At 45.6% G+C, this 16,929-nt stretch overlaps 1 protein-coding gene across 1 annotated transcript in view; it reads right to left on the reverse strand.

Annotated features, from left to right (window-relative positions):
- Positions 1 to 178, reverse strand: part of B4GALT1 (beta-1,4-galactosyltransferase 1) — an 81,013-nt gene extending 80,835 nt beyond the window's left edge. The window contains exon 1 of the mRNA XM_047423231.1: positions 33 to 178. The gene's annotated coding sequence lies outside the window, so the exon portion shown is untranslated. The remainder of the gene's footprint in view (positions 1 to 32) is intronic.

Raw genomic sequence — 16,929 nt, forward strand, 5'->3', positions numbered from 1 at the left:
AAACTCTGGGAAGAGAAGGCACAGTTACCTACCAGTTCAGGAAACATATATGATAGAGAGCAAACATGTCTAGCCAGCTCAGGGTGACTCCTTTCTCCACAAACTTGCCCCTCTTTAGGAAGGGTCCTGGGTAGCCATGTTGATACTGCTTGACCCCAGCCTCCAGCCACAGCTGTCTGGGCCAGGGGTGAGCATGTGACCCAAGTTGGGCTAATCAGATGATTTCTCCTGAGAATTTAGATTTGCTATTCCGGAAAGCTAGTCGGCCCCTGGGTGTGGCTGGAATTGAGATGATGTAAACATTCCACCTTCTGCCAATGCACAGAGAAGCAAAGAAAGCTGAGAGAATGAAACAGACCACAGACAGAGAAGTGGACATAGAAATGAAAGAGAAATACCCATATTCCTGAGGCTTCTTTGCCCCCATTCTGGTCTTTCCTGAAGCCTATTAGCATTTCTGCCCATGGTTTCTGTGCCTTAGAACTCAATCCCCTTATATTAAAAATCGTCCAAGTGTTGTACCAGTGAGTTTCAGATCTGCAAAAGCAAAGAGACTGGCTGGGCGCATTGACTCACACCTGTAATCCCAGCACTTTGGGAAACTGAGATGGGCAGGTCACTCGAGGTCAGGAGTTCGAGACCAGACTGGCTAACATGGTGAAACCCGGTCTCTATTAAAAATACAGAAATTGGCCTGGAGCAGTGGCGGGCGCCTGTAGTCCCAGCTATTCAGGAAGCTGAGGCACGAAGATCACTTGAACCTGGGAGGTGGAGGTTGCAGTGAGCCGAGATCGGGCCACTGCACTGTCCAGCCTGGCGACAGAGTGAGACTCTGTCTCAAACAAAAAAACAAAAGAAAGAGACTGATGAATAAACACAGTTCTACAACAAGCAGGACAAAGTCAGAGAGGGAGAGAAGGTTAAGAGCCTAGAAATGCAGGTCAGTGTGAGTCCCCCAGGTGGGTAGGTAGGAGAGAGGCCATTCCTGATAGGAGTGAAGTTTCAGGAACCAGAAAAGAAATTTCCTTCCTGCAGGCAGAGTGGAAGCCACCTGGTTCATGCTCCCTGGCTGCCGGGAATTCCTCACCTGGGAACTCCCCTCAACCTTCTTGTTTGTGTAGGATCAGCCATGCCAGAATGCACCTTGTTCCAGTCAAGCTCTGGGGCCACGGTAGCCCTGCTTTACTGCTGCCTGCGGTCTGGGGGAGCTGTTCCCAGCTGGCTGCCACTCTGCCCATTTTCCTAATCAGCATGCCACTCCCCAGGTCCCCAGCCTGGGGATGTGTGGCTTGGCTGAGCTGCAGGTGGGTCCCGAAGTCCATGGCGATGATCTGTGCCCAGTCCTTTTGTTCCAGGTAGACGACCAACTTGTCCTGCCTTTCCCAGGACCATCCCAGTTATAAAATGAAAAGTCCCAAATCTCAAGAACCCTCTCAGTTCTGGGGAAACTGGTAGGGTTAGTCACCCTAATTATAGAGACCCCAGGTCCTCAGTGGAAACTGCCTGAGCATTGTGCCCTGAAGACAGCATCCCAACCCTGAGGACCCCAGACCTCCAAACTCTACCCTCTTAAGGAGTCCCACACAACTGGATATTCCTGAAACCCCCATATCTCTCCATAGACCTGTGTGCAGTATGAGTCAGATTAGATTCTGAAGCCTCCCAGTCTTGAACTGGGTGACCCGGACATGTTACCTAACTTCACTGTGTCTTATCTGGAAAGTAATATCCAAAATAGCACATGTGCCTCATGGGATCATGGGAGTATTGCCTGGGAATTCCCCTCGACTTCCTGATTGTGTCAGGACCAGCCATATGCCAGAAAGCACCTTGTTCCCATCAAGCTCTGGGGCCACAGAGTCCCTGCCAGCTGAGGCTGTAGTTTGGCCCCATAGAAAGTTTTATTCTCTCAGCTTTAATTTTCAAAATATTCTGACTATATAAAAGTCAGCAGTTACTTTCATGACCTTACCCTAATCTAGTCATTGCCTCCTCCTTCCCATGGCCCACCTCCCACTCTGTTGGGTACACATCAGAGTGCCAGTGGTATGGCACAGTTTCTGCACAGGCAGTGGGAGGACCCAGGCTGCCTGCAGAGGCTTCACCTAGTCCTTCCTCTCTCTGGTGTTAGACCAGGGCCCGATTTCTGTAATCTCCAGGCTGAATCCCTGGAGGGGGAAAGCTCATGGAGCTAGTTAGAAGGGCCTAGCAGGAAAGGGGCTGTCAAAGGACTTCAGTTGCTTGGCCAGCACTCTGATACGAGCAGAGGACCCTGCGTCTCTGGTCCCCATGTTCTTACACCTGTCAGCAAGAAGTTCCAGCTCAGGAGGGACTGTCCCCTGTGAACCCTGGAAATACGGAAGAGGCATGAGCACATTTTATGCATGCACAGTGGGGGCAGCTGATGAAGTCCTTGCAGCCAGCTCTCCCACCTGACAATTGTCACATGGGGGTGAGGGCTGTCTGCTCACAAAGGCAACCTGGCCCACATAGATTTCTTAATTGCTGTTCACCACAGAGAAGTGTATACACTAATACGGGCATTGTATGTCCCAACGACAGCAAATCCCAAAGCCCCGGTGCTGGGTTTCAGGCCCTTTAAGGAGAAAACCCCAGAAGTGCATGGAAGTCTCACCACCTCCTCTGCGCCAGCCACACTGAGTCGGCTCTCAAAGGCCTCTTGTGACTGTCCTTTCTCTCATCTTTCCCCACGTTGATAAATGTTCTGGGATTAGCCCTTCTGTGTTTATTGGATGAGCAATTTGTGTCTGTCTGAAAAGCTACATCTGAATACTATTTGGCATGAGCTGAAGAAATGTGATCTGCTGCATTCCCCTCCAGCCAACTCTCTGGAGCTAGCCTGTCTCCTGCCAGCAGGGCCTACAGCTCTTCAGCAGGGTCTGGCAGCCTCACACGTTTGCTGAGGGGAGTGGTTGCACGCAGGAAGGTGGAGGAGGTGCCTAGGGTGGGACCGGGAACCCAGAGAGACAGAGGCAAAGCACCTTAGCAAATTGGCCAGTAGATCTAGAGCCCCTCTAATAATTTAGGGACATCACAGATGTGTGTGGTGAGCCCCAAGCCCTAGGGACAGGAAAAGCAGGTCCCCCATACAGCTCAGGAGCCTGAGTGGTTTCCTGAGCCCAGTGTCCTGGGTATGAACTGCAGCAGAGGTGATTCAAGAGAGTCCAGTGGGTAGCATCCCAGATCCCAGGTCTGGGAGGGATTAGTGTTGAGCTCTTGAGATTTGTGTGTTTGTGTGGGATGAAATGGGAGAGAATGGGCAGGAGGGTTGGGGAGGGCGGTAGAATAAGCTGTACCGAGGCTATTCAAATGTTTCCTGACTCCATCAGCACAGGTCCTGGAATTGGGAGGCCAGAGCTTGCAGCTGTGGCAATCAAGGGCCCAGTTAAAATACGCTAAGGAGTGTAGGGGAAGAGAGAATTTAGTTGGTATGGATGTGGGTGTGTCAACGACTTTCCCTAGCCCATATTCCCCAACCCAAGCCTTCTGCTGTGACCCCCTCAGCACTCTCCCTGCTATTCTCTTCGGGCCACATCACTTCTCCTTGTATCCCATCACTCATGTCTTTGTCTTCCCTCTACCTCTTCCCTACCCTTCCCAAGTCAGGGATCCCAGGGCAGGACACCATCCTTGTGTTCCTGATAGTGAGCATTGAACTGGCCACCAATGAGGCATCAATAATGGTTTCCTGAATAAAGGAATAAATGAGAGAGGCTGGGAATTCAAACTTCAGTGGCCACAGGTTCACAAGAAGATGACAAATGACAGATCAGACAGAGGTAACAATACAGGAGATCAGCTCAGGAGTGAAAACATCATCCTTGGAGTGCAAAGGAGTAGGTAAAGCCAGCTCATGACAGGAACTTGGGCACTTCAGCAGCCAGAGTCCATCTGATGAATGGCAAATGGTGTTTCACATGGTTCCAAATAGTCAGCAAACAGCTTTTGAATCCCTACTTTGTACCATACTCCATAGGACACCATCTGTCTCCACAAGCAGTTAAAAAATATGTGCACTCCTAAAAAGATAGGAGCAATCTGTGCTCTAACAGAGGTGTACAGAGAGGGTTATATAGATTCAGAAAAGGAAGAGGTTAATTTCACTTGGAGAAGCAAGGAAGGTTTCCTGGGGATGGGGGTGACGTTAGACCTGAATCTGGAACAAGGTCTGCAAATGCATCCCAAGTGTGCTGTTTCCCCTACACACACACCCAATCTGTACATCTATAGTGGATTTTTGCAAACTGATCCTTTTACTTTTTACTCTTTAGACTTGTGGGTGAGGTTTGTGAATGGAGAACAGCGGATGGTGTGGCTGAAAAAATAGGTTGAAGCAATATCTGGATTAGGATTTTGTCAAGCTAAGGAATGCGGGCTCAGGCTTGCAGAGGGAGAGGGACTTACATAGCTGTGTTCAGGAAGACATTCTGGCAGCAGCGCACAGGGAGGGCTGGGGTGGGAGGTGGGCAGACCAGCCAGACGTCTGTCCCAGGCAACAAGTGATGAGGCCTCCTCTGAGCTCCTGCCATACTTGGCTGAAACATCTGTTTGACACTCATCCCACTGTCTCTCTTGGAGCTGCCTTTTGATAGCATGACGGCCCCACAAGCCTGCGGGTTCCTTGACAGCAGGGGCTGTTTGTTGCCCCAGGCCTGACATGGTTCTTGGCAGGTGCTCATTATATATTTGTGAAGTTACTGAATAGGGCAGTGAAAAAAGGACAAGAGGCATACAGAGAAGGGCACAGATTTCCGGGATAACATTCTGTTTAGCAAGTGGAGTTCCCGTGGCCTGGGCATTGACACAGCTGTCTTTTGGTGTGTGTGGAGAAGTATAGGCATGTGCAGGCAGCCCAGGCAGAGAAGGAGCCACAGCTCCCTCCAGTTGGAGTGGGAGCTGCTGTCATTCTATTTGTGTGTGCATGCATGTGTATGTGTGTCTCAGAGACGGACTTGCACAGAGTGTTTGGCTTTTCAGAGAGACCTGGACAGACAGACAGGAGACTTCATGATTTACTATCCTAAGATGTCTTGAGAGGTATATTAAAACTCTTCTTTTTTTTTTTTTACATGAGACAGGCGGTCTCACTATGTTGTCCAGGCTGGATTCGAACTTCTGGGCTAAAGCAATCCTCCCACTTCAGCCTCCCAAGTAGCTGGAGTTCAGGCACATGCCATTGCACCCAGCTAAAGCTCTTTTTTGGTTGCAAGTGAATAGAAACTCAACACAAGCAAGCTTAGGGAAAATCAGATATTTATTGGCTGGCTCATAGGATGCATTTGGGGGTAGCCGGAACCAGGGATTCCAACAATACCAGACTCTAGCATCTGCTTCTCTCTCCACCCATTAGCCTCATTCTGGCAGCCTGGCTTCCTCAAGGCTGGAAACACGGCTGCCAGTAGCCTGGGTCTCACATTTGAGAGCTTCCACCCAAGAGGCACCAAAGGCTTTCTTTCTCAAGTCCCAATGACAAAGGTCCCAGGAAAAGACTCTGATTGAGTCTCCTTGTGTCAGGGACCTGTCCCTGGCCTAGGACCAAGAACAGTAGATAAAGAAGCAGGGTCATGTAAGAAGGAAATACCTTCCAACAAAACCTCATTATTGGAGTGGGAAAAGGAGCAATTTCCAGAGGCTCCTGTCTTTTACGTATGTTAATTACCTTGCAAAACTCCAATAGGTATTACTGTTGTAATCTTTATTATCCTTGGGAATTATTACCTTAGAAAACCAAGGCACAGAGAGGGTTAAGCAACTGCCATAGATCACCCAATTAATAAATGGCTAGAACTTTTTTTTTTGAGATGGAGTCTTGCTCTGTCACCCAGGCTGGAGTGCAATGGTGCGATCTCAGCTCACTGCAACCTCTGCCTCCCGGGTTCAAGCCATTCTCCTGCCTCAGCCTCCCAAGTAGCTGGGATTACAGGCATGCGCCACCACACCCAGCTAACTGTTGTATTTTTAGTAGTGATGGGGTTTCCCCATGTTGGCTAGGCTGGTCTTGAACTCCTGACCTCAGGTGATCCACCCACCTTGGCCTCCCAAAGTGCTGGGATTACAGGCGTGAGCCATCGCGCCTGGCCAAATGGCTAGAGTTGATAAATAGCTAGCTAATAAATGGTTAGCAGAGATGGAGTTCGGATCTAAATTCATTCAATTGATCTTCCCCTGTATCTTCCTGTTGTGTTATAGTGCCTATTCACCACGGGAGGGAAAAAAGCAAGGTGCAGAGATTCGAGGAAGGGACAAAGATAATTCTCCTGGGAACAGCCAAGGGCTGGGCTGAGGAGCCTGTGGGAAGTGATTGATTCAGTGTCACCAGGGGAATCAGGAATAAGAAACCCCACCACCCATCAATCTCATGGCAGAGATCTGAAAAGGGACATTTCGTGCTGACTTCTCCATCCTTCTTCCATCTTAACTTACTTAAAGTAAAATTTGATGAAGCCAAGGAAAGCAAATAAAAGAACAGTGAGGTCCCATTTTAACCTATTAAAAATTTAAGCAGGACTATAATAGTCGTGCTGGCAGGGGTGGGGAAATGGCTTGCTTCTAAATGGCTGGTGACAAGCTAAAGTGGTCCAACCTGTGAAAAACAATTTATTTGGTCATGAGGGTTAAGAGCTACAAAAGCTTTCTTTATTTTTGACCCAGTAATCTTACTTTTTAGAAACAACTCCTGGAGTCACAAAATAAAATGCAATTAGTGTCATGTGCAAGAGATACATCTAAAACAGTGTTTCTCAGAAAGATCAAAAGTAAAAGGATAGGAAAAAATAGAAAGCAAAAATAAACGCCGTACATGCAAATACATGCAACAAGAAAACAGACGTTACTGCCGGGCATGGTGGCTCACACCTGTAATCCCAGCACTTTGGGAGGCCGAGGCGGGCAGATCACCTGAGGTTGGGAATTCAAGACCAGCCTGACCAACATGGAGAAACCCCGTCTCTACTAAAAATACAAAATTAGCTGGGCGTGGTGGCGCACGCCTATAATCCCAGCTACTCGGGAGACTGAGGCAGGAGAATTACTTGAACCCGGGAGGTGGAGGGTGGAGGTTGCAGTGAGCCAAGATCGCACCATTACACTCCAGCCTGGGCAACAAGAGCAAAACTGTCTCAAAAAAAAAAAAAAGAAAAAAAAGAAAAGAAAAAGAAAACAGAGGTTACAATGTTAATATCAGACATGGTTGAATTCACCAAAAAAAAAGAAAAATCAGAAAACAAGACACAGAAGAACACCTTGTAATGATAAAGGCTGAAAGCTACGATGAAGATGTCATGCATTTTTATGCATAAAATATAGCAACAGAATTTATAAAGCAAAAAATGGGAACTACATGGAGAAACAGAAATATAATAATAGAAGGAAATTTTAATTCATTTCTCTTAGCCCACGACTCATCAGTAAACCATACAGTAAATAAGGATATAGATGACTTGATTTGTTAATTTATAAGGTAGATTGAATTAAAATATATTAAACTTCAAAGTCGGGCTTGGTGGCTCTGGCCTGTAACCCCAGCACTTTGGGAGGCTGAGGTGGGTGGAATGGTTGAGCCCAGGAGTTTGATACCAGCCTGGGAAACATGGTGAAACCCTGCTCTACAAAAGTGTACAAAAATTAGCTGGGCATGGTGGCACCACTGTGCCATGACCCCCCCAGGGGGTCTACAGAGGCAGCAGCAACTCCATATCCTTTGGTGTGTTTTTCCTCCTGCACCTGGCAGATGGCACCCTTCATGCCTGATAACTTTATCAACTAATTCATTAATCCATGACAGACATGTCAACAATTACAAAAATAGCTTTAGAGAAACATGCAAAAATGCAGTGGGGACCCAGGAAGAGGAGTATCTAAGCCTCACTGGCTTGGAGCAGGACTTTGAGTGAGTAGGAAAAAGACTTGGGGCTGAAGAAAGAAAACGCAGTTATAGAGTAGAGCTTGAGTCCCCTGCAGCTTCTTGTAAGGCTGAACCACTGTTTCCCACAAGGCCATGCCCAGTGGCTGGAACACAGCAACTATGAAGCTCCTCTAGAGGGTTCTCTGCAAATCCTTCTCTCTGCCTCAGCCTTCCCAGCCTTAAATCATTGGTCAGAGCTTTTTCCCTAAGGAGCACTGAGATTTGCCAGAGTCCTAAAGTGAGCAGTAATGGAGCAGAAATTAGGAGCCGAATGAATTATAGTCCTAGCGTTTCTATTCTTAACTCCTAGGCTTTTATGGAGCTCTTAGGGTTGAGCTGCATTTTGAAAGCCCACACATGGAATACATGGTGGGTACAAGTGACTCACCATTAGAAAAAATTAAGTTAGGGCCCCAAGTCATGGCTGACACTAGAATAAATTCCAGATGGCTTAAAGATTTGAATGTAAAACATGAAATCATAAAAATAGTAAAATAAGAAAATAGGAAATTTATAATTTTGGAAAGGAGGGAGAATACAGATCATTTTAAGTTTAACACCAAGGCAGGTAAGAAGGAAAAGATTGATAGTAGTGCAAAAAAAGTCCTGCACCAGAAGACTATTTCAAAAGTGCAAAAATAGAAATAGAGTTAAGAAAGAACTCTACCCTAATGTCAGAGTTGTTTGATACAAAGAAAAGAGGGCCTTGGGCTACTCCTTGGGGTGCTTAATTGAGCAACTGTATCTAGAGTATTTGTGCCAACTGTCCCCTTACTTCTGACACTTGTACTAATCAGCCAGCTGCAGTGGAGATTTTCTCCGCACCAAACCAGTGAATGCCCCAGGTAGCAACTATCCCCACTGGAGTAAGAAACTGGGTGTGCTGAAAGACATGATGGATTCTCTTCTTCCTGACATACGTGCCCCATGTATACGTCCAATCAACACATTCTTCTTCCCACAAAATTACTTTCTTTTTTTTTTCCTTTTCCTTTTTCTGTTTAGAGACAGTATCTCACTATGTTGTCCAGGTTGATCTCAAACTCCTGAGCTCAAGTGATCCTCCTGTCTCAGCTTCCTTAGTAGCTGGGATTATGGGCACGCCACTGGCCCAGCAGCTCCCACAAAATTATGACATTCAGGCTCCGGAAACAGAACAGACAAGAACAAGAATGCACTAGATTCATACAGTGACTCATACCTGTAATCCCAGCATTATTGTAATACCTCCTACCTGTAATTCCAGCACTTTGGGAGGCTAAGATGGGAGGGTCACTTACTTGAGCCTGGGACGTCAAGGCTGCAGTGAGCCATGATTATGTCACTGCACTCCAGCCTGGGTGACAGAGTGAGACCCTGTCTCAAAAAAAAAAAAAAATGCACAATTTAAAAATGATCAAACAGATTGGGCACGGTGGCTCACGCCTGTAATCCCAGTACTTTGGGAGGCCGAGGTGGGCGGATCACGAGGTCAGGAGATTCAGACCATCCTGGCTAACACAGTGAAACCCGTCTCTACTAAAAAAAAAAAAAAAAAAAAATACAAAAAATTAGCTGGGGCCGGGCGTGGTGGCTCCTCCCTGTAATCCCAGCACTCTGGGAGGCCGAGGCAGGCGGATCACGAGGACAGGATATCGAGACCGTCCTGGCTAACACGGAGAAACCCCGTCTCTATTAAAACTACAAAAAATTAGCTGGGCGTGGTGGCGGGTGCCTGTAGTCCCAGCTACTCGGGAGGCTGAGGCAGGAGAATCACTTGAACCCGGGAGGCGGAGCTTGCAGTGAGCCAAAATCATGCCACTGCACTCCAGCCTGGGCGACAGAGCTAGACTCCGTATCAAAAAAAAAAAAAAAAAAAAAAAAAAATAGCCGGGCTTGGTGGCATGCGCCAGTAGTCCCAGCTACTCGGGAGACTGAGGCAGGAGAAATGCTTGAACCCGGGAGGCGGAGGTTGCGGTGAGCCAAGATCGCACAACTGCACTCCAGCCTGGCAATGAAGCGTTACTCCGTCTCAAAAAGAAAAACAAAAACAAAAAACACAAATATCTAGAGTTACTAAACAGTTGGGTAAAATTAACACTATGAAACAGAGCCATCAAAATCCATCTGTAGGCCAGGTGCAGTAGCTCACATTTATAATCCCAGTACTTTGGGAGGCCAAGGTGGGAGGATCGCTTGAGCCCAGGAGTTTGCAACCAGCCTAGGCAACATAGGGAGACCCCATTTTTACAAAATTTTGTTTTTATTAGCTAGGTGTGGTGGCACACACCTGTAGTCTCAGCTATTCAGGAGGCTGAAGTAGAAGGGTCACTTGAGCTCAGGAGTTTGAGACTGCAGTGAGCCACAGTCTCACCACTGCACTCCAGTCTGGGCGACAGAGTGAGACCCTGTCTCAAAAATAAAAAATTAAAAATCCACTGTGGGAAACCAGAATATGCCATCCCCAAAACATGCCACTCTGATGTAAGGATTATTTTGAGTTGAAGGCACTAGAGAAGAAGATTTACAAAGACAAAGGTGTCTTCCTACCCTCTCTGTCAGGAAAGACAAAAGTTAACCACCAGAGACAACTTTAGAGCTTAACAGCCTGGAGATGGCACCAAAGGAATCTACGTAGCAAGCTCTACTAAATAGCCTGTAACTGACACTTATTTGCCGTCCCACAATTTGCAGCCCTTAGAAGTTCAATGCCCTTTTCCCTTGTCTTGCCACTTCTCTAAAAATTTACTGTTCTTTGTTGAAGATGCTATATGAACTGGAATTCCAAGCCACCTCTTTGAGGCCTGTTCATTCCCTGGGTATTTCAGATGTATATACAAAATATACATGCTAATACACTTGTTTGTTTTTCTCTCATTAATCTGTCTTTTCTTATAGGGGTTCATTCCAACTAAGAATTTATGAGAGTTGAGGAAAAAATTAATTTTAGTTCCTTACACTGCCATCTGAAAAACAAACACCTAAGAATGAGAATTAATGAGTACTAGCAGAGCAAGTCTTTAGATTAAGCATAATTAATATCTCAACAAGATACGTGAAAAGATATTTCATTTGCTAAAAGGAATTAGGCCAGGCATGGTAGCTCATGCCTGTAATCCTAGCACTTTGGGAGGCCAAGGTAGGAGGATTGCTTGAGTCTGGGAGTTTGAGACCGGCCTGGGCAACATAGCAAGATTCCATCTCTACAAAAAATTTAAAAATTATCTGGGTGTGGTGGTGTGTGCCTGTAGTTCCAGCTAGTCAGGAGGCTGAGGTGGAAGGATCACTTGAGCCCAGGAGTTCGAGGTTGCAGTGAGCTCTGATCTTGCCACTGCACTTCAGCCTAGGCCACAGAGCGAGATCCTATCTCAAAATAAATTAAAAAATGGAATGAACTAAAGATCGATTTAGAATTCAGTTTCCCAAATAAAAATTTAATGGGCTTAATAACAAAATAGATACAGCTGAAGAGTGAATAATAGAGTTGAAAGATCAAGCAGCTAAGAAATTCAGGAGAATAAAAAACGGCCAGGTGTTGGCTCACGCCTGTAATCCCTGCACTTTGGGAGTTTGAGGCGGGCAGATCACCTGAGGCCGGAAGTTCGAGACCGGCCTGGCCAACATGGCAAAACCGTCTCTACTAAAAATTAAAATTAGCCAGGCATGGTGGTGCATGCCTGTAACCCCAGCTACTTGGGAGGCTGAGGCATGAGAATTACTTGAACCCAGGAGGTGGAGGTTGCAGTGAGCCAAGATTGCACCACTACACTCTAGCCTGTCTCAAAAAAAAAAAAAAAAATTCTCATAAAATGCAGTTAGAAAGAACAGAGGTGAGAAGTATAAAAGAAAAATTAGGAAGTATGGAGGATGAATCCAGAAGTTCTATCATACTATTTAACAGGAATTCCAGCATAAGGAAACAGAGGAAATGGAGGAGGAAAAATAAAGAAATAAATAATGGAATATTTTCTGGAGGTGAAAAAACACAAAAGCTTTCACATTGAAATGACCCACTGTAGACCAAGAAGAATAAACAAAACAAAACAAAAAAGACTTACACCCAGATTAACTATGATCAAATTTCAGAATACCAAACATAAAGGAAATACCAAGCAACTTTGTTTTATTCCCTCACATTTGTAAGTGAATTTTTCTAGGAAGAGGATTCACAACAATTAGTCAATTCTCAAGTAAGTAACCAAAAGGAAAGTTTAAGAACCACTGCCCTCTATGAAGGCAGCTTCTCCAAGCAGGGAATCTGGAAAGAAGCTTAACCCCTAAGTGTAGACCTTCCCCCAAAGGTTGCGAAGTTTGCTCCACACATCTAGTTCCATTTACTCTTTTTTTTTTTCACACCTGAAGAAGGAAAGTTTGGCCAAGCTCAAAACCATAATGTCCTTAGTTCAGACAACAAATTATTACACTTTCTTCTTTCTGGGAAAAACATGTGCAAAGATTTTCCCTCGGAAATGTGCCTGTTTTTAAAAGTCTCTAAAACTCAAGAGTGCTAGCATTTGCTACTCTGAAGATCTAGCCAGGAAAATGGGGGCAAAGGGAGGGCCATGAAAGCCCACTGTGTCCTTTTAGTGTTGGGGACGTGAAGACACAGGCCTGATCAGTGTACAAGGCCAGGACTGGGAGGCTGGAAACTTGGGTTAGAGCCCTGGCTCCACTACTTCCAACTGTGTCATCCAGGCCAATCCCTTTTTACTGTTTCCTTGTCAGTGAAATAGGAACATACTTGTTCTGTCTCTCAGAATAGTTCTGGGGCTAAGATGGTAAAACAATGAAGACACTCTCTGAGACCTCAAGTTCTAAACCAAGGGTCACTTAGGCAAGTGCCTTCCAGAGCCAGATAGGTAATGCAACTTTGTGAATTGGCCACATTAGAAAATGGTGGGAACCCAGGATTGATTTATGATATGGTTTGGCTGTTTCCCCACCCAAATCTCGTCTGGAATTTTAATCCCCATAGTTCCTATATGTGGTGGGAGGGAGGTGATTGGATAATGGGAGCAGTTTCCCCCATGCTATTCTCATGATAGTGAGTTCTCATGAGATCTAATGGTTTTCTAAGCATCTGGCATTTCCCCTGCTTGCACTTCTCTCTCCTGCCACCATGTAAAGAAGGCCCTTGCTTCCCCTTCACCTTCCGCCACGATTGTAAGTTTCCTGAGGCCTCCTCAGCCATGTGGAACTGTGAGTCAATTATACCTCTTTCCTTTATAAATTACTCAGTCTCAGGTATTTGTTTATAGCAGTGTGAGAACGGACTACTGCAATTCATTGTTGGGCATGCTGAATCTAAGGTGCATACAGGGAAATATAGTTCTAAACTACGTTCTAGGAACCTTAGTTCCAGGAAATATTAATATCCCAGGAAAAAAGGTGGGGGACCGTTGAGGGTCGTTCAGTTTCCCTAGAAAACAAAGCCTGGGGCAATGGTTATATGCTGATGTTTTTAATGAAGGCACAAATCCAGAGCCTCAAGAGTGATATAAAAGGGAGGGCTGGGAAATGATGCAAGATGCTTGGAGGAGCCAGCGGCTCCTGGCAGCAGCTGGCTGGCCACAGAACTCCAGAGTTGGCTGCAGTGGCAACAGTTAAGGAAATGCAAAAGGCTAGGATCCAGGACTTAGGCAGGCTAAGAGAACCTATGAAAACACGTAGAATGTGTCCAACATAAATGTCAAACAAAATTAAGAAACACTAGGTACTACATGCCGCCTCTTAGAAATCCGCAATGCATATTAGCACATTTAACAGTTCTAGAAGTACCTCAGCAAGGAAACCAGTTTCATTTTATTTGATCCAGCATTTCCCAAGCTTATTTGACCACAGAACCTTTCTTTCACGCACTGCTCATCTGTAGAACTCAGTTCTGGTCAGCTATGAATACTGGAATTTGGGGCTTAGGAAAGAGGATAGATTATAGATATGAATTTGAGATTAATAGTGATTAAAGCCAGGAGAATAAAGGAGATCATCCTGGAAGAGTTTCTACAATGATCCTAAGCTTGAGTCCTGGCATACATCAATATTTAAGGGACAAACATAGGAAGAAGATCCCTGAAGAGAGAAAGGGAAGAAACCATTGTAGAATTAGGAGAATCAGGAACCATCACTAGGTAGTAATGACAGTTAATTTTAGGTGTCAACTTGACTGGATTAAAAAATTCCTAGAGGCTGGGCGCCGTGGCTCACGCCTGTAATCCCAGCACTTTGGGAGGCTGAGGCGAGTGGATCACGAGGTCAGGAGACTGAGATCATCCTGGCTAATGTGGTGAAACCCCGTCTCTACTAAAAATACAAAAAAAATTAGCCAGGCACGGTGGCGGGAGCCTGTAGTCCCAGCTGCTCAGGAGGCTGAGGCAGGAGAATGGTGTGAACCCGGGAGGCGGAGCTTGCAGTGAGCCGAGATCGCGCCACCGCACTCCAGCCTGGGCGACAGACTGAGACTCTGTCTCAAAAAAAAAAAAAAAAAAAAAAATTCCTAGAAATCTGGTAAAGCATTATTTTGGGATGTGTAAGTGTGTGATTCTGAGTGAATTCTGTGGAGAAGATCCACCCTTAAGGTGGGGGGACAGCATCCAATCTGCTGAGAATCCAGAGAGAACAAAAACAGAGAAAAGGTGAATGTGTTCATCTATCTGCTGGAACTGGGGTACACTCTTCCTCTCCTCTCCTTGGACAACAACTCTGGGCTCCCCAGCCTTTTGATTCCAGGACTTAACACCAGAGGCCCCTGGGTTCTCAGGCCTTTGGCCTTAGACTGGGAATTATGCCTTCAGCTTGCCTGGTTCTGAGGCCTTTGGATTTGGACTCAGCCACACCAACAGCTTCCCTGGTTCTCCAGCTCGCAGACAGCTTGTGGCAGGACTTCTCAGCCTCCGTAATCACATGAGACAATCCCCCGAATGATGCTCCTCTCATATGTCAATGTAAACTAAAAATACAACCCTAAACCCCCCAGCCCACTGAACAGATCCCCTCTTGTCCAACGGGACCCCAGAAAAACCTTAAAAATGGAGTTCCCAGTCATGACAGGACAGGTCAGACAAGCCTCGTTATACCCCCTCTCTTTTGCAATGTAGACAGAACAACTGATCAGCATTAATATTAAAATTGAGACCATAAGGCTGACAGAATGGACTGTTTGTAGGAATAAGAGACCGTACAGGTCACCCTGACCCAGTGTATCATGTCTTGCTCTTGCAGCCCGACTCTGGCATAGCATCCCATGATGGTTAGCAGATTTCTTAACTAATGTATGTTAAAATTAAACCTAAACATTCCTTCATGCTGACTCCAAGATTTTAGACAAAGCCTTACTCCTTTACCCAATTGCAAATTAAAGAATCTCTCAATCTACTTATGACCTGCAAGCCCCCACTTCAAGATGTCCCACCCTTTTGGGCCAAACCAAAGTATAATCTCCATGTATTGATTTATGACTTTGCCTGTAACTTCTGCTTCCCCAAAATGTATAAAACAGAGTTGCATTGTGACTGCCTTGGGAGCACGTACTCGAGGCTCTGGGTTTGTATTTTCCCCAGGCTGCAGTCACTCATACTGGTTCAAAATAAACCTCTTTAAAACATAGTATATATTACAGAGTTTTTTTTTTTCCATTGACAGTTTCTCTCTATAGATACAGACACAGATACAGTAGATATTGATATATATTGATTCTGTCTCTCTGGAGAACACTGACTAATACAATAGTTAAAGTAGAAAGGAATTTATGACCAGGTATAGGTGAGCAGAGGACACCCCAGGCTTGAGTTACTAAGAAATCCATCTTCCCGATCAGGCATTACCCTAGAGCTTGTTAGAGATGTAAAATCTTATATGTCATGGCAGATCTACTGAATCAAAATCTGCGTTTTATCTAGATTTTTCAGGCCATTCATATGAACATTAAAGTTTGAAAAGTTCTGTCTTACAACATTACTAGCAGGGCTGGAGGGGTAGACTTAAAATGGAGCTTCCAGAAATAATTGTAAACCCTAAGAATCATCACGGTTCTGCCATCACTGATCATGAAAGAACCTGCCACCACTCCTGCCACAGGAAGCTACTGGGCCAGAAACCAGTACTGATTGGGGACTACAAAATCAATCTGCCACAATCCACATCAGCAAAATGAATGCCCTACCTGCATCCTCTCTCTCCAGTTAACTTAGTTTCAGGTTCAAGTTACATGCAAGTTTATAGAATGATAATTCCTAAGCTCATTTGGATTGCCAGCTGCAATGGAGTGTAGGAAGTGTGACATCCCAGCTGTAATGTACTGGAAGGAGATGGGAAGGGATGTTATGTGAACCAGTCCGTAGAATCCACCATTGGTGGTGTCATGGAAGCTCTGACATGAGCTTCTTTATATCCCTCCGTATCTTTTCTCCCCCTCATTCATGGTAATCCAATTTTTAGCTAAATAAGGACTACATTTCCCAGCCTCTCTGCAGATAGATATGACCATGTGACTGAGTTTGGGTCAATAATATAAAAGTGGAAATGTCCCAGCACTTTGGGAGGCCAAGGCGGGCAGATCATGAGGTCAGGAGATCAAGACCATCCTGGCTAACACAGTGAAACCCCGTCTCTACTAAAAATACAAAAAATTAGCCAGGCATGGTGGCACATGTTTGTAATCCCAGCTACTCCGGAGGCTGAGGCAGGAGAATGGCGTGAACCTGAAAGGCAGAGGTTGCAGTGAGCTGAGATCATACCACTGCACTCCAGCCTTGGCAACAGAGTGAGACTACGACTCAGAAAAAAAAACAAAAAGTGGAAATGTCACATAGCAGCTTCTAGGAATCTTTGAGAGAAAGTAGGATCATGTCCTTTACATTCATCTTTTTTCCTCCCTCCATTGTGCTGTTTGGAGCATGAGATGGTACCGTCTTAGACTAGGAGGTTGAGGGCTACACCCTAGGAGTTGGCAGAGCTTTGAGTTAGGAAGAACCTGAGGCCAGGTGCAATGGCTCACGCCTGTAATCCCAACATTTTGGGAGATGGAGGCG

Source organism: Homo sapiens, chromosome 9, assembly GCF_000001405.40.
Source record: "Homo sapiens chromosome 9, GRCh38.p14 Primary Assembly".
Lineage (NCBI taxonomy): Eukaryota > Metazoa > Chordata > Mammalia > Primates > Hominidae > Homo > Homo sapiens.